This window comes from Homo sapiens, chromosome 10, assembly GCF_000001405.40.
Source record: "Homo sapiens chromosome 10, GRCh38.p14 Primary Assembly".
Taxonomy (NCBI): Eukaryota; Metazoa; Chordata; class Mammalia; order Primates; family Hominidae; genus Homo; species Homo sapiens.
In genome coordinates this window covers 57,799,860-57,823,882 of record NC_000010.11, presented here as the reverse complement: position 1 = coordinate 57,823,882, position 24,023 = coordinate 57,799,860, and the positions used below count along the sequence as shown (strand labels likewise).

The following is a 24,023-nucleotide window of genomic DNA, read 5'->3' as shown; positions in this document are numbered from 1 at the left end:
AGGTGCCTGCCACCACGCCCGGCTAATTTTTTGTATTTTTAGTAGAGACGAGGTTTCACCGTGTTAGCCAGGATAGTCTCAATCCCCTGACCTCGTGATCCTCCTGCCTCAGCCTTCCAAAGTGCTGGGATTACAGGCATGTTTGGTTATTTTTGAGAAGAGTCAACTCAATCATGTGAAAGTTTATTTTGTTGTTGTAAACATTGCCAATATGATGCTATCATCTGTCAGATCCTGATTTGTAAATGCACCTGTATGATGCAACATCAATACTAACAGAGTTGAGTTTTTATCAGCTGTTTACCCTTTGGCAGCTTCTTCTCTCACTTCCAACAGTTGAATTTAAGCAGGAATGAATTAAGTACAGCCATTTCTAATGTGCTGAATCAACCTTATCGCTGCCATTAAAACAAATTAACTGACAAAAAATGTTTGGCAAAGTGGCCAGAACCATAATGCCATGTAGTTTTTTTTTTACTAAATACTAGAAAATATAAATCACCTTGGTGAAAACTATATCTTCTTTAAAAGCCCTGAATCTGTGAACCATTTGTAAAAGTTGCATCTAGAAAAGAATCAGTATAAATTCTCTTAACTAGGAAGCCCTAAATACCATTAACTAGAGCAGTTGAAATGGATTTTACTACAATTCAGGTCCCCACAGAAGGCTTAATCAAACTTTATGCATAGTAAACACTCCTTAAAGTGTAATCTATGTGTGCAAAGGGCATGGGAAAGATACTGTCCCCAGAGAGGCTGGCTCTTCACATAATAATTCAGAACAAAGGTTTAAAGAAAGCTTAGCAGTTCTAACATAAGTGTTTTAGATACTTCTGTTATGCCTAATGTAAATTCTGGCCTTATTTTGGTACATTCAAGCATTAGATCATGACAAGTTTTATGTAGCATTTGCAATACTTCAAATCTTGTTAGAGAATGACAGTTAAATATATTTCAGAGCTGTCTTAGGTTTCTATAAAATCATAGAAGTTACAGCTTTCCAACTCATGCTACAATACTTTCAACATTCAAAAATATTTGAGTGTTATTATAAACAGCTTTATTATTGTATTGTTTACATATATTAACATATTTCATGATCATTCTAGTAATTCCCCCAACATTAAGTGGTTTGCTAGAGCAAGGGATGAATAGGTGCATGCAAGAAGCACCTCAGCAAACCTTTGTTGACTGATTGGCTAATTGAAGTATACCCTGTTTGGAGTAAGTGTTTAATACCATCATGCTGATTATTGTTCCACAGAGACCTAGATAACTTAAAAATGTTCTTGTCTTAATGTTAGGTCTTGTGCAGAAAGGAATGAGGGGACTCAGGGTATTGAATATTGAGAACAGGTGAACATTTATAGTTTGCCAAGATGTTTTTGTAACCCACAGCAGACAGACAGACTTACCCTAATTATTTGAACAGTAGTTATCAGTAATTTCTGTGACCTCTGCCTGATTTTCTCTTCTGTACTAAAAAATGCCTAAGAAGGATCTTGGAGGTACTATTTCCTATGATTTCAAGTGACCCAAAATTTGACTGTGAAGTTCATGGCCTGTGAATGGGGCCTCTATCTTTGTTTAGAAGTTGCTGCCTCAGGTTTCTTTTGTTGTGTTTAGTATTGCTGAAATGGTGATGTTGAATTGACATCACATAATGCCATCTAAAGACTAATTTTGCTTATTATTTTAAAAAGGATTTACTGAGTGCTATAATAAATACAAGGTATAAAGTGGTGAACAAGAGACCATCCCTGACCTCAAAGAGCTTTCTGGTGGCTCTGGCTCACTTGCTTTGAAGAGGGCTGCATCTTGGACATGCTTTGTGCTGCCTCCATTTCCACTTCCTTACCTATACCATTGACCTTCTCTGAACAAAACCCTGTACTATCATGGTATTTTGCTTTTAATTTCTATCATGCTTACTATTTACAACCCACATTTATTGAGCTCTACTCTATGCAAGGCACTGTCTCAAGTGCCTTGGAGGGATTATCTCGTTCATTTCTCACAACAACAGGTACTACAATTATCTCTATTCAATAGATAACGAAACTGGAATTCAAAGAGGCTAAGTTTTATAGTTCCAGTTTATCCAGGTCTCACCTAGTGGAGCTGAAATTTAAACAAATGGTAGTTTTACTGTAGAACAAGCTTGTCAAACCCACAGCCCATGGGTCGCAGGATGGCTTTGAATGCGGCCCAACAAAAATTTGTAAATTTTCTCAAAACGTTATGAGATTCTTTTTTTGTCTTTTTTTTTTCACATCAGTTACCGTTAGTGTGAGTGTATTTTATGTGTGGCCCAAGACAATTCTTCTGCTGTGGCCCAAGGAAGCAAAAAAATTGGACACCCCTGACTAGAAATTAGTACTTACTCACTATGATACATTGTCTCATATTCGTGTTATTCTTCTTGTCTATTCTAGTAATCCTTACCTGGGAAAATTGTGTAGATACAGAATGGGGTAGAGAAAATGTGGTCATTCTTGCTTTCAAACTTTAAGAGAACTTTTTCAAAATATACTCCGTAGATTTTCCTCCCCTGATAATGCCGTTAGGTGTTTGGAGGGACTTATAATTTGATTTGAAGAAACTCCCCAGGGGATTTTGCTTCATCCTCTCTGGCTGGGAACCTTCAGGGAATTTGCTATAGGTTTTCAGTTGGGACTCCTTGTTGGTTTCTGATTTTCATCTCTTTTCATTGTTCAGGACATCTGGCTCTGTTTTCCAGCCCCACATTAGATGAGAATGCTCTGGCTTCTGATGTGATCTCTGTCTCCCTTCAGCTGCCCTCCCAAAAGCTGCAGGCCTTGAGATTGGGCTCCCTCATGGTCTCCTCTGTCCACAGTATAAAAAGAGTCTCTTTCTTTAGTTTCAATATCTTTTCCCTTGAGACTTTACATTTTAATAGGAGCATGATAGATTTCAGACACATTGGTTGCAGAAAAAGAGGTCCTAGAAAATGAATGACTAGAAGTCAGTTCCTTGGATTAGAGAGTTTCAGGGATGCAATTTGGTGTTTTCAGGTGACCTCTAAGCCATGTGAATATTTGATGGGAAAGTAGGAAAAAAGAGTTATCTGCTGACTTTGGAAATTCTATAATTTTCTGGCATTATTTAATTAAAACCAGTAGGCATCTATTCAGCTCTTACTCCATATAGGGTACTTTGAAAGGTATCATGAATGATATCCAAGTGAGTGAGACATACAAACACTTGCTCTTAAGAAGACTAGAAGGAAGGACACATGCAACTAATTTAAAAAATGAGATAGGAACGATAGCAGAGTTTTAAAGCAGTGCCTCTGGAATCCTTGGAAGTTATTAACTTTTTAATTTGTGGGTATCCTTGGATTCAAAGGAAAAGAACCACATTATGGCTCAGCCTCATGGAATAAATAACTGTTAAACCACTAGGGACTAAAAGTAGAGAAGGAAAGGGGAGAGCAGCAAGAGGAGATGGTGGAAAGGAAGGAAAGGGTCAGGATGTTATTCTGCATTGAGGATATTATCCATCTTTGACCTCAAGTCATACAACGTGTATCATTTATGGAGTTGACGAGTCTGATAGGAATTCGCTTATTTTGGTTTCTATTGACCCAGACTTAAGGACACTGGTAGGTTCTTTTTTCTTCAGGTCATTCAGGGTATTAACTCTGAATGTGTTTTCCCAAGGGTGAAACACAACCTCTTTTGAGCAATGTCTTTTCAGCAAGTCTATGAGGCTCATGTTAATCTCAAGGCAAAATGGCAATCAAGAGAATTAGGTAGAACTATTATTTCCGTCAGTCAGCCCTTACATATTATAGACCCATGACATCCAAAACTGAAAAAATAGATCCCGCCATTAAAAATGATTGTTCTTACTATTAATTATCATGATTAACTTGTCATCTGAAAGCTAAGTTTTAATAGCCAAATCTAAGGTTCAGCACCAGAAAGCTGTTTATTATGTCTATTAACTTTCTTTTGCATTTACTGTCCCAACTATAAACACCACCACCATGTCATTATTGTCCTTTACCCCACCACTCCTCCTTCTTCAGTTGATCTCCTAACTTATATTTCACTATGTCAACCTAAAGAAATTAGGCTAAATTGGTTAATCTTTTGTAAGAAGTAAAAAATCTTCCTACAATTTTCTAAGGCTTGAGTTATTCCAATTTTGCTATTTTGCTTTGTTATTCCAATATATGTATTTCTCCTTCTCAAATATGCCCATTAGCTACATATTTTTTTTCAAGGAAACCATTCATTATGCTTCTTGAGTAAAGAATGGAATTTAGGTTTCCCCTCAAATGTCAGGAATCCAGATTTTTATTTATTTATTTCTTTATTTCTTTCTTTATTTATTTATTTGAGACAGAGTTTCACCCTTGTCACCTAGGCTGGAGTGCAATGGCATGATCTCAGCTCACTGCAACCTCCACCTTCCAGATTCAAGTGATTCTCCTGTCTCAGCCTCCCGAGTAGCTGGGATTACAGGCATGAGCCAACATGCCCAGCTAATTTTGTATTTTTAGTAGAGACAGGGTTTCACCATGTTGGCCAGGCTGGTCTTCAACTCCTGACCTCAGGTGATCCACCCACCTCGGCCTCCCAAAGTGTTGGGATTACAGGCATGAGCCACTGCGCCCAGCCCAGTATTCCATTTGGATCAGTGACTTTGAAATGATTGCAAATACGTAAACTACAATTTATTGCCACTTTAAAAAATATAACCTGATAAAAGGGGCACAAAGTCATTTATCACAAACAATGTAATGAATTACATCTATCTGCCTATCAGTCCATTCAACAGACTTTTAGTGAAATACCCTCAGCTAATTTCTTGGGATATAAAGCTGAACACCAATGTCAGGTTCAAGACCAAGCTGAGGTTGGCTGGGAATAGGTGGATGGGTGGCAGATAGTTGAAAGAACACTCGGGGCTGTAGGCAGGTGAAACATGGCATTATTATGAGCCTCTCTCTGTTAGCTTTTGTATTGGCTGCCTGCTGTGGCCACAGCCCCTCTCAGCAGCTGGCTCTGTGGCTCCTGCCACCCCACACCTGCAGCTGCATGCCCTGGCACGCTTGCTGCTTTCTGGCTCCCCCCATCCCCCTGCAAGTTGGCTGGCTTTCTCTCTGTCTGCCTGCAAGATGGCTGGCTCCCCTTTACAGAGTCACCAATGAAGTTATATTACTCACAGACAATAGTGGCTCAGAGCTAGGTATGAGCTTACACAAACAGGTTACATAATGCACAGAATTGTGTGCCTGCAGTCCAGACTTGCTGTGTTATGCTACACTGGATGTTTACCTTGGCCTATTCTTTACTGAAGCACATCCATTTTCCTTACACTCCATGCCCTAGGCTCAGGGAGACATAGGCCTTGGACATACAGGTCTGACATATAGTCCTGATACATAGGTTTTGGGCACACAGGTCCAACACACAGGCTTGACACATAGGTTCTGGGCTCTCGGGCCCAATACCCAGGCTGACACATAGGCTCTGGGCACACAGGTCTGATACACAGGCTTGATATCGTGGTGCATGTGGTGGGGGTACTATGTGCTCTCTTACTAACTAGACCCATCCATCATGGATGCTATGGGTCAGCTAGGGGGCAGGCGACAACAGGTTACTGTTAGTCCCCTTGCCTGGTTGGAGGAGGTCATCCTTCTTCTCATAGGTCTTACCACATAGCTTGGCTCCACATGGGCCAGTGACCAACTAGACAATTCTGCAGCTTCTAGGTAGTTAACTACGAAGTTAAGCCTTGATAAACTGCCCAGCTATCAGTGCAGATTACTATAGGTGTCACTTCCTTGGTGATCACCATTTATACTGCTCTGGGTTCAACCCATTGACTACTTTGTCCACACCCAGTATCAAACCATATGGTGTCAGTACTAGGCTGGACGATGACAGCAGTCCAGGCAGCAGTAGCACCCCAGCTAGACCCATCCATATACCATGACTCATCAGGAATTGGGAGTTGCCCCTTTTTAAATGGTGATGGCTCAGGTCTAGGGGTGCTTCAGGCCCCATGGCCTTATCTTGCATTAGGACTACAGGTCCCAAGACTTCTTGTAATTCTGCTGCTAAGGGGCTTGTAAACAGCATAATTTGCTGTTCTAAGTAGGCACTCCACTTTGATGAAGTGGATGTCTGTGCTGTCCCAGTCTAGGGGGTCATTACTCGTGAACATACCCATCCTGCTATTGGGTAAGTTGTCTGCATGATGACTGTAGCCCATCCCGTTACCCTCTTATGAGCCTGAAGGGTGGAATATGCAGCTGCTAACTGCTTCTCTATCAGTGAATACCAGAGCTCAGCTCCCTTTCAAAGTTGGGCCCAAAAGCCTACTGGCATTCTAAAGTGCTCCATGTACTGCCATAGACCATCTGTGGTTACATGCATGTTAAGTTCAAATGGGTGCCCCAGCTTAATCACTTATAGGGTCTGTGCTTGCTGAATAGCCCACTTAGCTGCCAGAAAAGCTGTCTCAGCCTCATTATCCCAATCTCAGGTAGCCTGCTTTTTTTTTTTTTTTTTTTTTTTGTCAACCAGTACAATGGTTTTATCATCTGAGCCAAATGGGGCACAAATGCCCGCCAATATCCTGGGAGGCTGACAGAGGTCTACAGCTGCCTCACTATGGTGGACTGGGGATACGACTCTTAGGAATTTGGCAGACAATTCAGGACCTTGGACCCTGGATTCATTGATGGCCCAACCACATGCTATCAAATGTTATTGCAAGAGGGGTGCCACTGCTTCTAATCTACAAGAGAATCAGAGGTTAACATAATATCATCAACATGATGAAATAGGCAGACTCCCTTTGGACATCTCCAGGTGGCTAAATCCATGACAACGAGGCCATTACATATGGTGGGGCTATGCACATAGCCCTGCAGCAACACTGTGAAAGTTCACTGTCACCCTTCCCATGAAGGCAAACTGTTCCTGGCTCTCTGGAAGAGAACATGTTAGCTAAGTTCACCACATAGTGGTACTGTCCCAATTTTGTTGTCAAGTGGTCCATCAAATTCATGATAGACAGGACAGCTGCCAAGCTGTGTGAAACATCCTCTCCCCAGAATGTATTCAGGTATGGGAGAGATACACAGTGCATAAGCAGGGACCCAAGTGGCCAATGCCAAGGTGCAAAGATTGGCATAGTCGGCAGGATCCCGAGGTGAGTGAGCCTTCGGACCCCAATGATTCCAGGTCGGCCATGTGGCCGCAACATGGGTTGTGGTAACATGTGGCAGCTGTGCTGCTCAGATGGGCTCTGGTGGAGACATGAGCAGGAGTGGATGGGTCCACCATGAGCATGGAGAAGGTGCTGAAGCACCTGGAAGTGCACAGCACCAAGAAGGAGCGTGCCTTTGCCAGCAGAGTCAGATGGGGAGAGAGGCACATAGCAAAGCCATGTTTCACCTGCCTAGGGCCCCTCAGTGGTTCTCCGGGCCATCCGAGCCAAGAAGTGGTGAGCATATTGGAAAGTACAGCAGCAGGTGTTGGGGTGGCAGCAACCACGGAGGTGGCTGCTGAGAGGGGCTGCAGCCAGAGCAGGCGGCTGAGACAAAGGCTGACGGAGAGAGAGAGGTGCATAATAATGTACGCCCTGCCTACACCAGCCCCAACAAGTGTTTCAACTACTTGCCTCCTGTCCACTGACTCCCCTCAGACCTCAGCTTGGGCTGGAACCTGACAATGAATTATAGCTGTCTACTTTATGTATTGCTCATGACTCATACAATATCATATTCACAAGGAAATACACCAGTAAACCTGCTTTCCTTAGAACATTTGTAATGAGCCAATAGAGAACAATGAGTTTAGGCTGGTTGATATTGATTCCAACTACAAAAGCAACTCACAGACAAGAGAAATCAATGTGGCCTTTGGTAATCAGGGAAGGATCAGCAGAGGAGATAGGACTATATAGGAAATTCGAAGGATGATTAGTAATTAGATAAATCAAAGCAAATGGGAATGTCCTTCTAATTAGAAGAAGGATGAGAAACAACTCCCTTTCCCTCAATGCTCAGGCTGGAAAGTTCCTATGTACTAGGTTGGTGCAAAAGTAATCATGGTTTTTGCATTACCTTCAATGACAAAAACCGCAATTACTTTTGCATCAGCCTAATATCTTCAGTATCACTATGACTGGGCCGACAGACCAGTTTGAAGCTGTTTTTTTTCTGGTTGAATCCTTGCTTATAGCAACATTGGCAAATTATTCATTTCATCTTTTATATACATACAGAATATGTATATACATACAGAAATATGTCAGTCAGATGGACAAAAGATAAAAAATCTGTCCAGGAGGCTCAGTGGCTCACGCCTGTAATTCCAGCACTTTGGGAGGCCAAGGTGGGTGGATCACTTCAGGCCAGGAGTTCAAGACCAGCTTGGCCAACATGGTGAAACCCCATCTCTACTAAAAACATAAAAGTCAGCCAGGTTTGGTGGTGTGCAACTGTAATTCCAGCTACTTGGAAGGTTGAGGCAGGAGAATTGCTTGAACCTGGAAGGTGGAGGCTAAAGTGAGCCGTGATTGCACCACTACACTCTAGCCTGGGCAACAGAGCAAGACTCCTCCTCAAAAAAAAAAAAAGATACAAATACTTAGAGAAATCATCCCATCTAAAGGGTATTCTCCAGTGTGATTCATTTATCATTTTCATGTGAAGCAAGGGATGCTCCCTTAAGGCAGGGGCCATTTTTATTTGTTTTGAGTTTTTTTCTTTTTCTTTTGTGTAGCATACAAATAGTTTATAGTAAGTGTTCAATAAATATTTAAGATATTGGGTAAAGGAGAGGGGAGAGATTATAATTCCCCATTGCCTCTTTGCAGGTAATTCTATGTAGGCCTCAGGAAAGTGGGGCTGAGAAACCTGCAAAGACTGATTAACCTGTTAACCTACAAAACTGATTAACTAAAGAACATAGTGCTGATAGATTATTTTGTTATATAAAATCATAGACTGTCAGAAACTTTGCTATTTAAAAACCATGTCAGTAAGAAAGGAATAGCCGACTTTGCATAGGGGATTTGAGTCACATCGAAACAACCTGAATTGTTAACCCATGTTCAGAGATTTAGATAAAGGGTTATGAACAGAATTTTCCAAATGTATTTTGTCTTTGTAATTTTCAGAAACATCATTCCACTTTGCAGTCCAGACATTATATAAACCTATTTATAACAAGTCCTTTCTTTGAGCCTATCAAAACTTTGTGTCATTTAAATTTTACTTAAACTCCACCCTTCCCCCAAATTTTAAAGTAGCTGTTTCTTCTTTTGTTTGATGAGAGACATTACACAGTTGCCTTGAAGTGCCCTCCCTTGTTGCAGCAAGAAAATTAACCTAATTTTGAGAAACAGCTTTGTTTCTATGGTCTTTATCAGATGGATTTTTTCTAATCTTAATATTTTAGATCAAGATTTTAGGGGAAAAGTAGTCTATTTTTTTTCACCAGCTCAGTAGTATTTGTTTGAAAGAACCTTTCTTCAATAATCTTTGTTTCAACTTATTGTTAGTTTTTGCTCAATAATTTTTGTTTCAAATAATATTTGTTTCAAAAATACTTGTATGTTTTGTATTCATTGCAACACTATTTACAATAGCAAAGACATGAAATCAACCTAGATGCCCATCAACAGTGGACTGGATAAAGAAAATGTGGTACATACACATCATAGAATACTATGCAGCCATAAAAAGGAATAAAATAATGTCCTTTGCAGCAAAATGGATGCAACTGGAGGCCATTATCCTAAGCAAACTAATACAGGAACAGAAAATAATAATGCATGTTTTCACTTATTAGTGGGAGCTAAACATTGAATACACATAGCCACAAGGATGGGAACAATAGGCCCTGGGGACTACTAGAGTGGGGAAGGTGGAAGGTGGGTGAGAGTAGGAGGGGCAAGTGTTGAAAAACTATTATGTATTATGTTTATTACCTGGGCGTAGGGATTATTTGCACATCAAACCTCAGCAACATGCAATTTACCCATGTAACAAACCTGCACGTGTACCCCTGAACCTAAAATAAAAGTAAAAAACAAACAAAAAACACCAAACCCCAAAATATATGCACTGTCTCTACGGAGAAGGTTATTTAATGCGAATTAGAGAAACTTCAGGTAAATTGCTCCTTACAGAAGCATGCTTATAGGAGTATAATATCTTGGTCATTTCATTGGTTAGGGATAGAAAAAAATCAGAAAATTTCCCACTGCCACAGGACAGTATTTTTTGTCTCTTTTACTCACTTGTGCATCCCAAGTAGCTAACACTGCCTGGCATGTATTATGCTCTCAATATATATTTATTGATACTACACCACACACACACACACACACACACACACACACACACGTTTGTTGTGAAAGGCTAGAGGGAATAAAGTAAACATATAAACCCAGTCTTAAAGAAACAAAGTAGAGGAAATTATTTGTATCACTGAATTTTTTTCCCCATTTTTTGTAGCCTGACATGAGACTTTCCCCTAGTCATACTCTCTTCATTTATTATTCCTTCTGGACTATCATAATCTTTAATTACTTTTAGTTACTTACAAGATAAATCCTTGGCTTGTTATTAAAGATCTACACAATTTGACTCAAACTTGCTTTTCCTGTTCGTGTCCTGTTACTTCTCACAGAACAAGAAACTAGTTTATTTTTAATCCCATCTTGTGGTGAGAACATTTGCTTCCCAGGTACTCATATACTTCCATGACATTTATCCCCCGCTACCTATGGGGTCGAATGGCTAGTTTTGGCCAATGGTCTAGGAACAAAGTGACGTGTTACTTCCAGGTTAAGAAAGTTGTGAGCTGTTGTGTCTCCTCCTTTTCTCTCTTTCCCTATATGATGTACTTGGAGGCTGCATGTTGTAAATGGCATAACTACAAGATAGAGGAGGAAAACTTGCTTGTATCAGAATTTACCTAAGGGGTATGAGTGACAAAACTATTTTGCTAATTCATTGGAATCAGCTTTTGTGTGTGTGTTTGTATGTATGTTATAGCAGTTAGCATTATTTACTCTACATGATACAACATTTGTATTCAAGGATTTTCTCCAATCTGGGGTAGACATTTTTCTACCATATTTCTTAAGACTCAAAAATATTAATAACTCTACCAGTAATACCTATGTAATGGCTCCAAATCACAGGGGAAGATTGATCTGTTTTCCCTCCGATGACCCATTCCACATCTAGTCTGCAAAACATTTCTAAGATGAGCTGCTGATGATTTAGGGAGTATGGGCTGGATTATTGTTTACTTCTTTCAATTTAATTTATCCCCTAGTTTCATTATGGGTTCCCACATCTTGTATTACATTATGATCCCTATAAGATCTAGGACAAAATGCTTGCAAGCTACTCTTAGTGATTCATTCCAGAATAGATTTTTATCTTCTGAATGTTTCAACAAATAATTTTCTACTGGAAATATCCAACATGTCAAGGCATGTGGATATTTTTCTCAATTTTTGAATAAAACTGCTTTCTAAAGGAAAGTAAATTGAAGTAAATCAATTCAAGTGAATCAAAATTGATGTAAGGAATTATGCTAAATGGTTATTAATGACTTGAACCATTGCTTCTCTGAAGTGGTCATTTAAATGATAATCTAGTGGTAGTCACCAGAGAAAACTGTATCCTCTGTGGAACTCAAAATACCTCTCCTTGACCATGAAAATTTGAGAATGTTTTTGGGCCATCCCATATTTCACATTGTATATGTATAAACTTCAACCTGGCAATCAGCATACCCAGGTGTGCACCTATCTACTTTCATCTCACATGTTTTTCTGTAATTCTATGTGCACTGCCAAAGGCATTGTACAGGACAAGATTACCCTGTCCTAGGGCAATCTTGTCTCTTAAACTACTAGTGTTATTATAATGTCAGATGAATTCTTTTAAAATTACAAACATGAAATGAGCTCTTTGCCCTAGATTCGGTTTTTAGATACTAAGTTTCTTTGAACATATTTCTATGTATGAGATTAGGCTGGTTTGCTATGATTCTCACTTGGCTCTTTTATACTAATTGAGTTGATATGCTTGGTTTTTAAATTTTCTCTTCTGAATAGATCAGAAGTTTCATAACTGACCCACCAGGGAACCTCCCATCTAGTCTTGCACAAAAAAAGGGAAGGGGGTGCTTCTCTCTAGAACTTTGGCCACCCATCAAGTGTAAAGCACTAAAGATGAGGCCATGTGTTACCCCGTTACACCTATTATGTCTTTTTTAATTCCCCTATCATAAGCAGACAGAACATGAATGGAATTCTGTGATAGCCCTTTCAAGGTCAATGTGTCTGTGGCTGACCAATAATAAGCTTCTCCCTGAGTGTATGTGAAAACATGAATCTCTTTTCCAAACTGAATTGTAGACACTGTTAACTGGAGGTTTATTTCTTTTTATACCCTTGCTCTGAAAAGTCAGGTGTAAGTCAAACTTTATTTGAAATGCACTAGGGAAGCTGGCTATGTAAAGAGACCCTAGGTTAATGCTTTTATGGTTTGAATAATCACCACTGCATCAACTGGGAATTTTATAAATTGGCTTCTGAAGGCAAGGACTGCCTGCAGCGAGTTACCAAGAATTCCATGACAATTGCGTTTCTTTTTTGTACCTATTCTAATATGCATGAGATGACAGAAAATACGTGTCCTCCCTCTCTCCTTAGACTTTTCTTATTCTTTTTTATAGCTCCACCAATCATTACTATGATTTTATCACAAAGTTTTTCAGAGTATTTTGATAGTGATATTCACCATTGGGAGAAATTCTCCTACTGTGAAATCAACTATAAGATACTTTTAACAGTAACATTAGGCTTACCTGGACCTAGATAACAGTCTTGCTGTGAAACTTTGAATTATTGCTATTTAAGTAATTTTTCATTAAAAAGGAAGCAAAACAAGTAGAGGACTGTTTTTAAAATGGGCTTGTTATTACTCCTACATTGTATCTGTAAATTATAATTTTATATTGAATTTGTCATTAATTTCAGCTTCCACAGGGTGATTCCAGGAAACACTGTCATTTCAGAGGGAACCTGTATTCTGAACTCTGTATGGTCCCATTTTAATAGATTAGTAAAATGATAATAACATATGTAAATTGAGAATAGGATATGTCAGGTAAACAGCTATATTTTTCAGAACAATGCCTCATTCATAGTAAGCTCTCAATTAATATGTGAGTGATTGAGAGAATGGATGAACTTGCTTGAGGTCAAAAGCTATTAAGTGACAAAACAACATCTGAGCTTAGGTCGCTCTAATTCATAAATCCTTTTATATACATTCAGTATCTTGAAGCCGAAACCTGATGAACTAAAAGTTGTCTATTTTGGATTCTTAGAGGCTTTACAAATTTTTAATTTTTTAATGGCTCTTTTGGCTGAATTAAATGACAGTCAACAAAAAGAAGACATAGGAAGTGATAAAGAGAAGAGGAGATAAAGAAAATAAAAAGATGATGTTCAATGAGAAGTCCTCTTAAAGAATTAAGGAAAGTTCCCTGTTTTTCCATGACTCTTATAACACTTGTTTTGGAGAGTGACAAAAACAATAGGATGACTGACATCATTGTAATCCTACATGCTGAAAACATTTATTCATTTTACACACATAATGGAATGCTAATTAATACCAGGGAGTGAATGCAAAACACACTTAAATCACTTAATCCTCAAACTCTTGTTAAGTAAATGTTAAATTCTCATATAAAAGAAACAGAAAAGTTAAATGACTATTTTGCATGCACACACTGAATGAGGGATGGAACACATTACGATACTTAAAAAATCATGAGTTGGTCCAGGAGCATGAATAGTGAAGGAAACTTTAAGTATGAAAGAACTTAGAGTATAACGTGATAGCTATGAACAGAATTCTCTCCTATTAGCTTTAAGGTGTAACTGGTATAAGATGTAGATTACATAAGAAGTGAGAGAGTGAGTTTCTAATGGAAATAGAGAGAATGGTTATTTTTTGTTATTTAACATTTGTTAAGGTATTGTAGTGCCCTAAGAAATTATGTTTAAAGTACATGATTTTTAATTAATTTTTGAATTAAAAATACTCTAAAAGTCTTCTTGATACATGCTTCAGAAAATAAAGTTCAAATCAAATATACACCATTGACCTGGTAAAGGTCTCATGTCATGTTTCCTTATTAAGTTCTTAATCATTATTTTTGCCAGAAAGCTTATGGGAACTTATGATTTTTTAAAACCAAATCCTTTCTGATGAATTTTGAAAATAGAAGGACAGGTGTCAGAAAAGCTATAGCTGCACAATATATTACATGACATAGTTGTATTATACTACCTGCATTTAAGAATAATGTAATTTAAAGAATCTTCCATGTCAGTTTACAATATAACTAAGTTTTCATTTGAAAGGAAATAAAAGAAATCAAGTATTAAATTTAGGAAGAAAAACATCTCAGAAACATTGTTATAAAATTACACTTTGTACTTCATGCATTCATTTGACTGCGGAAATCTTTTCAGAGGATCGGGATTTGAATTGTCTGGAAATTTTTAAAAATGAAAATAAATACAAGCAAAATCGAAAACTGCCGGTCATAGCTAAAGTGAATGTACAGGTAACAGGGACAGTGTAATGGTTACAGAGAGCAGGCTCAGAGACCCAGACACCTGGATTCAAGTTCTACTTCTGCAGCCTGCTGTTGTATTACTTTGGGCAGCTTACTTAGCCACTCTGTGGCTTCTTCCTTTATCTGCAAAATGGGGATAATGGGGATGATAATAGTGCCGATTTCATAAGATGGTTGTGAGGATTAAAGAATATGTAGGAGAGTGTCTGACACAAGATGTGTTCTATATAAACAATTATTATTATTCCTCTTATCTGAGTGGTGTTGAGGGGTGGGTAGCCACCATGACACGGGGGGATCACTGGGAAACTGAAAAGTAGAATGAGGAGGTAATAAGAGCAAACATCCATTGCACATTTGCTGTGGAAGAGGAAGATGAAGTTCACAAGCAAATGCAAGCCCTTAGTTCATGTCACACACATTACACATGTAATACAAGAAATATATATGGATGGGAGGCAGGGAAATACTGGGTAGAAGATGGTGGTTCTTTGGCAAAGGCCCCACCCTCAAGCCTGGAAGCCAAGATCCTAAGTGAGAACAGGCATTCCTGTTTTTGCACTCAAATGTTGCCTTTTGGCCCACTATGTTCCCCTATCCTGCCCCCATATAAACCCCAAACCCCAGGCTCCACAAGCAGATGAGCAAGGAGCAGAAGAGCAGCAGAGTGGCAGAGCAACACAGCAGAGAAGGAGAGAAGAGGAGTGCCTAAATGTCAAGAGGAGTTTGGCTGGGGACTGTTGGAGAGGAGATTGGCTGTGGGATGGCCAAGCTCCAGGGGAAGATCATCTTCCCACTCCATCCCCTTTCCAGCTCCCCATCCATTCCACTAAGAGCCACCTCCAACACTCGATAAAATCCCTACATTCACCATACTTCAAGTATGTGTGTGACCTGATTCCTCCTGGACCTCGGTACCAAGAGGGCAGGGTGCAAAAGGCTATTACCCTGACCCTCCACTGAGCTGGTTTAACACTTAGCTGTCTGCGAACAGCAACTGCTAAAAGAGCATTAATTGTAACACACCCCGAGATGTTAACATGAGCTGGATCCCAAAAGCACTCACCCAGGCTGCTGCACCTATCCGTCTGCAAGCTCCGCCTCCCAAAAGGGATTTAAGCACACAGTGTCTGAGCAAGTGAGCCACACCCCTGTCACAAATCCTGCAAGGGGGTCAAGGAACTCTCCCATTTCAAAATTGCAATATTATGTGATAGCTATGAACAGACAGACACACACACACAGTTTTTATTTAAAGGTATAAAGGAAAAAATAAAATGATATATTTATAAAAATGTATTTAAATCATCTTTAAAAGATTATAGAATATTTCTTTCTCATAACAATTTGAAAGTAATTTCAAGGCTTCTAATATGGAACAAAATTACATGTACTTTTATAACTTGTAGTTACTGATAAAATTTATTTCTCTATAGATTTTGAAATAGCATCTGTGCTTTGGGCATCAGATTATTTGCCTTATTTTAGTTTTCATTTTCACTATTCACTGAAGTCATCATTCGAAAAACAGGAGGCTTTTAGATGCAAAGTCTGTTTTTACTTTTTTACAGTATTTTTAGAGATGGAGTCTCACTATGTTGCCCAGGCTGGTCTGGAACTCCTGAGCTCAAGCAGTCCTCCCACCTTTTCCTCCCAAAGTTCTGGGATTACAGACCTTGATCTATTTCTCTCTATTGCAGACATTGATACATGAACATTTTGTCTTCCTTCCTAAGAAAACATTGAATACATAATGTTACCCCAAACTTAAGAGGTGTGTGAGGGAGGATGAAGAAAAGAAGGATTGAAGGAGAAGGGAGCTGACTTTAGAAGAAATGGTTGAATATGCACATTGTACAATAGAAATATTTTCCTCAATCCCTGAAGAAATTTCAAGTGAATCCAAAATAGCAGAGACTAAAAATAGCTTTGAAAGTTAACAGGCTACTGAGCAAAATAAATAATTAGGATCTATCAATTAATGCAGCAAGAGAATGAATTATGTGATAACCAAGTGAAAGTTTCCCTGAATGAAAGGCTCTGAAGGTAATTAAAATGAAATTAAAGCCTGCTGCTTGAACAGGAGTAGTGGCCTTTATTATTTTGGAAAAGTTAGAGGGGAATTTAAATAAATAACTTGATTAGAGATTTAATTTCAATTGTAGCATGAGCTTTAGAGCTGATGACAGAAATATCATATGAAGAGAGAGCCCCTTAGATGGGGACAGTATTGAATTATTAAAGGGGAAGCAGGCATAGAAAACAAGTATACTGGTAGCTGGAAATGGGCAGTAGTGGGGTGGAGTTAATGTAAACAATTAACAGAGTGTAGGAGGAAGGGGCCGGCCAACAACTAGCACTACCTACCGATGGCTGACAATCCCAGGAAAGGCATCCTTGTGAAGTCTTGACTTCTGCTTTTTTATCCTTGGCTTAACCTCACCCATTAATTTCTGGCTTATTGCATAGCTAGAGAGAGTAAACTTAATTGATTCTTAGCAACTGCCTTTTTTTTTTAATTTCAAGTGTACCTTTAGTTCTAAACTATCGCAGCAATTATCTTCCCATTTAAAAATAACTGGGAAAGAAAGCATATCTGAAAAGACAGGACTGTTCTGTTTCTGCAAAGCCAACTATCAATGTTCTTCAAAGAACATGACTAGGGTGAAAAGACTGGAAAGAGGTTAATTGAAGTCAACTGTTATTTTATTGATCTGGGTAAAGAGTTATGGTTAGTTTTAAATTTTTAATATCTAATGTTTGAAATAGTTATGAGTTTCCAAAAGAAAACCTTGCTGGAAGTTTCAACCTTGAGGTTTAGGTTAATCGTGCAGTGAAGAAACATATATTTGAAGCCATGATATTTCATTTGTTTTTGATACCCACCTGGTAAAAAGACATGAGCACTGTCTTTAATGAAACAAAAGATAATTTCACCTTTTCTACTGCTTTTTTGTCTATCAATACAATTCTTTATCTCCTAAAGTCTGATTTACCTGATTAATTTTTAGTCTGACTCAATTTTTTTCAGAGACATTGTTTTATCATTCAAGTCTAGTTACAGGCAGTTTAGGAAGGTTCTACCTTATGCTGTTTAAAGGATGCCCGAGGCTTTGTTTTCTCCTAGTATCTAATCCACAAGCCTTTAAAAAAAACACCCATACACTTTCCCTGTTTGGGTTAAAATTCTGAGCTATCCCTAAAATATCTGCTGTGGGCTTTTCAGTACAAATAATAATATCTTCATAATGCCACTTAAAAATACATGTGTATTGCCAAGAGGAAGGATGGCCTTGAGATTGCTGAAGCTTTTTCCTTTTAGAAAAACAGACACTTTTAATACATTATGTGCTATACTTTGGTTTGTTTGACCCCTCCAAATCTCATGTTGATGTTTGATTCCCAATGTTGCAGGTGGGGCTTAATGGGAAGTGTTTGGGAGATGGAGGTAGACCCTTTATGAATAGTGAATCCTTCATTAATGCTCTCCCTGGGAGGGGAGGACTAAGCAAGTTTTTGCTTTACTAATTCTCATGACAGTTCCTCCAAGAACTGGTTGCTACAAAAAAAGCCTAGCATTTGCCCTATTCTTCTCTCTTGCTTTTTCTCTCACCATGTGATCTCTGGACATGCTGGCTGCTCTTTTCTTTCTGCCATAAGTGGAAGCAGCTTGAGGGCCTCACCAGACGGCCTTGTCAGTAAGGCCCTGCCTTACTTATTTTTAGAGATGGGGTCTCACTACCTTGCCCAGGTTGGTCTTGAACTCCTGAGCTCAAGCAATCCTCCCACCTTGGCCTCCCATAGTGCTGGGATTACAGGCGTTTTTCTATCACTCTCTGTTACATGAACATTTTCTCTTCCTTCCTAAGAAAACATTGGATACATAATGTTATCCCAAGCTTAAGAGGGATGTGAAGCAGGATGAAGAAGGATTGAAGGAGAAGGGAGCTGACTTTAGAAGAAATGATTGAATAGGCATATTGTACAATAGAAACAGTTTACTCAATCCCTGAGGAGATTGCACCAAGCTTCTTATACAGCCTGCAGAACTGTAAGCTAAATAATCCCTTTTTCTTCATGAATTACCAAGCCTCAGGTATTACTTTATAGCAACACAACAGACTAAGACATTATGTTTACTTTATCCTGCAAAATATAGAGAAGCTTATTAGTCAGGGTTCCCCAGAGGGACAGAACCAATAAGAGATATACATATATCTATATATCTCTATGTGTGTATGTGTGTATCATCTATCTACCTATTCTATCTGTCTGTCTGTCTGTCTGTCCATCTATCTATACACACACATACATAAAGAATCGCTTTGAGATTGCTGAAACTTTTTCCTATTAGAAACTAGACACTTTTAATATCTTATGTGCCATATATATATATATATATATACACATATATATGTATCATAATATTTCATGTGTTTCATCCCTCCAAATGTCATGTTGATGTTTGCAGCATAGCATCTTGCTTCGATGACCACGTTGCCTTCGTCTCATGTGTGAAGTCTCTTTCTGCATCTCTCTTATGAAGACACTTGTGTTGTATTTAGGGTTTATCCAGATAATTCAGGATAATGTTTCCATATTAAGAGTCTTAATCACTTTGCCAAGTCTCTTTTGCCATGTAAGGCAATATTCACAGGTTTCAAGTATTAGAGCCTAAACATATTTGGAAGATGTTATTCAGAGAATTTTTTTTAAAAAAAAACAGAGAGTAGAGTTGTGGGACAACTTCAAGTGACACAATATACCTATAGTTTGAGTACCTGAAGAAGAAGATAGAGAGGTGCAAAATAAGAAAAGTTGAAGAAATAATAAGCAACTATTTTTCCAAAATTGACAGAAAATTTAAACTCATATGTTTAATAAACCCAGTGATCACAAAGTAAAATAAATGTAAACAGAAACATGAACAAAACGACACCAAGTTCTGAAACAATACCACATCATAATCAAACAGTTCACAGAGAAAACCTTTAAAAAGTATATGAAGAAAACATTACAAATGCCTTCTTCCAAAAGACAAGTATTTTGTCCCATTCTGCAGATTGCCCTTTTACTCTGTGATGATAATAACAGGTATTTTGAATCACCTCCAATTAACCTCAAAGGTTAGAAAAAATTTTTTTCCTTACTTTCTAGTTACATTTATTCAATTATTATCTATATGATAATGACTCCGTATTTATGTCTCTAATAAAGACTCTTTTGAACTTGGCAGCCTATTTGACTTCTCTACTTAGATAACCAAAGATATCTCTAACTCAACTTGTCCAAATAGAATCTTGCTAATATTCTCCCTACACCAGTTTCTTTCCATTATTTCACTGTCTCAGGCCAAAATTCTTAGTGTTATCCTTGAGGCCACTCTTTTTATCCACCCTACATCTGATTTGTAGGCTTTCCATTTAGAATAAAGCCAGAATTTAACCCCCCAAATGCCGGTCACAGTCACCTTTTGCCTAGATGATTGCAACAGCTTGTTAGATGGTTTCCCTTCTCTGTCCCTGACCTTCTCTAGTCAATCCTCAACGCTAAAGCCAGGATGATCTTGATAAAACATAAGCCAGATCATGTCTAATGAGCAGCTTTCTATGTCAGTCACAGAAACATCCAAGTCTCTTACTGTTACCTACCAGACTCTAAGATCTGATTCCCCATGTCCTTTTTATCCTCCGTATTGTTCTCTCCACTCTAGCCACATTGACCCTTTGCTATTCAAATATGCCAGGAATAGTCCTATGTCAGAACTTTTGCTTTCTTTTCTTTCTGCTTGGAATGTTCCCAACTACCTACACACCCCAATTCTGTAGATTCTCTTTTTCTTCAAGTCTTTATTTAAAACTTGCCTTTTCAGTGAGGTCTTTTCTGGCCACCCAACTATACTTCATATTGCTAACCAAAATCTTTTATATGCTCTTCTTTGTCGGTCTCCATCAGTAGAATGTGAGTTCCATGAAGGCAGCAATTTTGTCTGCTTATTTTTGTAACCCCAATACCTAAAATAGTGTCAGGCACATGAAAGCTACCCAATAAATATGCAAATGAATACGAACAAAAGGCAGTGCATACAGAGGAAAAAAGATAAAGATGACAACAGACTTCTGGTTGCAAAAAATGTAAATGAGAAAAGAATGATGCAAAATTGTTAAGTATTGAAGGAAGAAAAAACTATCCAGCTAGAATTCTATATCCAGTAAAAAAATATTTTCAGAAAATGAAGGTGCAATAAAGTCTTTTCAAAAGACAAATGAAAGCAAAAATATTCACCTCCAGCTCATCTGTACTACAAGATATCTGACAGAAAGTCTTTCAGACAGAAGAAAAATAACAAATAGAAATATGAATGTGCACAAAATAACAAAGAGCATTAGAGATGGAAACTGCATGTGTAATCATATCAGATATTTTATTCTTTTAAGAATTTATTTAGAGTGTAAAAAATTGCTTAAACAAAAATTATAGCATTGTAATATGGGGTTTATAACATATGTAAAAGTAAAATGTATGACAAAAATCACGAACTTAGAATTAAAGCATATTATTTTAAGGTATATATACTAACTGAACATGAAGTTTCATAATATCACTTGAAGGTCAACAATGATAAGCCAAAGATGTATACTATACACTGTAAAGCAACAATTAAGAAAACGAATGAGATATATAATCATAAAATTTTTCAATTAATCCAAGAGAAGGCAGATAAAAAGGAAAATGGGAACGAAGGTTAGAAGAGATGAATTAGAAAACAAATAACAGATGAAATATATACACACAACTATATAAATAATCAGAGTAAATCACATAATCTATGTTTACTAATTAATAGGTAAAGATAGATTGAATAAAAAATCTTTTTATAAGAAACATGTATCAAATATAAAAACACAAAGAGGTTAAAAGTAAAAGGATGTAATACCATAAGCAATATAAAGTCTTAGGGCTGTATTTATATCAGACAAAGTAGATTTCAAAGAAAATAATATTATCAGAGATGAAGAGATCATTTTATAATGAGAAGTAGGTCAATTAATCAAGAATATGTAATATTCTTAAATTTTTACTTACCTAACAATAGAGCTTTCAAAGTCAAGAGAAAAAAATTATAAAGAGAAACAGACAAATTCACAGTGATAGTTGGATATGTTAGTGCCATTATTTTAATAATTGATAGGCCAAGGAGATAGAAAATCAGTAAGAATATAACAACACAATCAACTAAATTGAAGATGCAACAACACAATCGACCCAAAGACCTAATTGACATTTATGGAAGTAATTTATCCAATAACAGATGATTACACATTTAAAGAAATTTAAATGGACCATTACCAAAGTAGACCATATTCTGGGTAAAAAAAATACATTTCAATAAATTTAAAAGAATTCAAGGCATACAAAGTATGTTCTCTCACACTAATGGAATTAAATTAGAAATCAATAGCAGGAAGATATCTGGGGAAACCATAAATATTTGAAAGTAAATTGCATACTTATAAATAACCTATGAGACAAGGAATAGATCAAAAGCCGTAAGAGTTAAAACTCAGCATAACAACATTTGTCAGATGCTGCCAAAATCATACTTAGGACAAATTTACAGCATTGATCACCTATATTATAAAGAGAAGTGTCAAGTTAGTAATCTCATTTTCTACATTAGGAAACTAGAAAAAAAGAGCAAATTCAACCCAAAAATTAATAGAAGAAAGGATATAATAAGAGTGCAAATCAAGGCAACAGAAAACATAAACACAATAGAAAAAAATTAAAACCAAAAAATGATTCTATAAGAAGATAAATTGATAAATCTCTGGTCAGACTCTTCACACATACATATACAAAAGACAGAAACCACAAATTACCCATATTAGAAGTGAAGGGGTAATATCAGTAGAGATCTTAAATTTATGAAAAGAATATTAAGAGAATACTATGAATAACTTTATGCCAATATATTTAACATAAAATGAACAAATTCACACAAACTACCAAATCTCACACAAGAAGAGATAGCTAACCTGAATAGCCTATATCTATTAGAGAAATTGAAACTGTAGCTAAAAACTTCTATGGTACAAGGAGAGCCTCTAGTCCAGATAGCTTCACTGGTGAATTCTACCAAACATTTAAGAAAAAAAAAATACCAGCATTACAAAACTCACATCGAATAGAGGAGTGAATATTTCCCCCTCATTTTGTAAAGCCAGTATTATCCTGACACAAACTCAGCCGAAGACATTACAAGGAAAGAAAAACTACAAATCAATATTTTTCATGATGAGAATGCAAAGTTTTAATGAGTACTTTTTGCAAATTGAATGCATCAATACTTAAAAGAGATACTGAATTATAACCAAATAGGATTTATACAAAGAATGCAAGATTCTTTTAACATTAGAAAAATCAGTGTAAGCATTAAAACAAGCTAAAAAGAAAAACTACATAATCATGTCAATGGATGTGGAAAAAGCATTGAAAAATATTCATTATTTATTCTTGAGAAAAATTCTTAGAAAACTAGGAGTTTAAGGTAACTTACTAAAATGAATAAAGAGCACATACTAAAAACCTGTTGTTAACGTGATACAAAATTGTGAAAGACTAAATGCTTTCCCCCTGAGATTAGTTGCAAGCAAGATCGGGTACCAGACTTTTATCACTTCTATGTAATATTGTAATAGTGGTTCTATAGTAATAAAGGAAAAGAAAGAAAACATCCAAATGGAGACGAAATAAGTAAAATTGTCTTTATTCGCAGATAAGTGATTATGCAGCAAACCAGAGGAAATACGCAAAAAAATTTCTTGAACTAATAAGCTTACTAAGTTTGCAGGATAAAAACACACTATTAAAAGTCTATTTTATTTTTATATACTAGCAATGAATAATCAGAAATTGAAATAAAAATATTTACAATAGCATTAAAATATGAAATAGAGAAAAATTTGACAAAGAAGTAAAAGACTTGTATAACAAAAGTGAGGGCATGTTTCTGAAAGAAGTTGAGAAATATACTGTGTTCTTGATTCAGAGGATTCATTATTATTATTAAAATTTTATATCTCCTGAATTGATCTATAGATTCAAAGCAATTCCAATAAAAGTCCCATCATTAGACATTAAGAAATGCCAATGAAAACCATAATGTGATTCTATTACATACCTATTAGTATAAGATTAAACAGATTGGCCATACCAGAAGTTGTCAAAAATATGAAACAACTGGGACCCTCTTATATTCTGGGCAGGATTCTGAAAACATGTAACTACTTGGGGAGATGGCTTGGCAGTTTCTTTAAAAAGTTAAATGCATACCTACTATATGAC

General features: G+C 37.1%; 1 long non-coding RNA gene across 1 annotated transcript in view, besides 1 other annotated feature; it reads left to right on the top strand.

Moving 5' to 3' along the window:
• LOC105378314 (uncharacterized) overlaps nucleotides 1-24,023 on the top strand; it is a 147,384-nt gene that overhangs the window by 23,494 nt on the left and 99,867 nt on the right. The window lies entirely within an intron of this gene.
• Nucleotides 6,869-7,368: an enhancer, noted in NCBI's record as "H3K27ac hESC enhancer chr10:59576275-59576774 (GRCh37/hg19 assembly coordinates)". NCBI's record gives its function as "activates a minimal SCP1, AML or CMV promoter by ChIP-STARR-seq in primed H9 embryonic stem cells {active_cell/tissue: H9 hESC(primed)}" and the evidence as "EXISTENCE:reporter gene assay evidence [ECO:0000049][PMID:30033119]".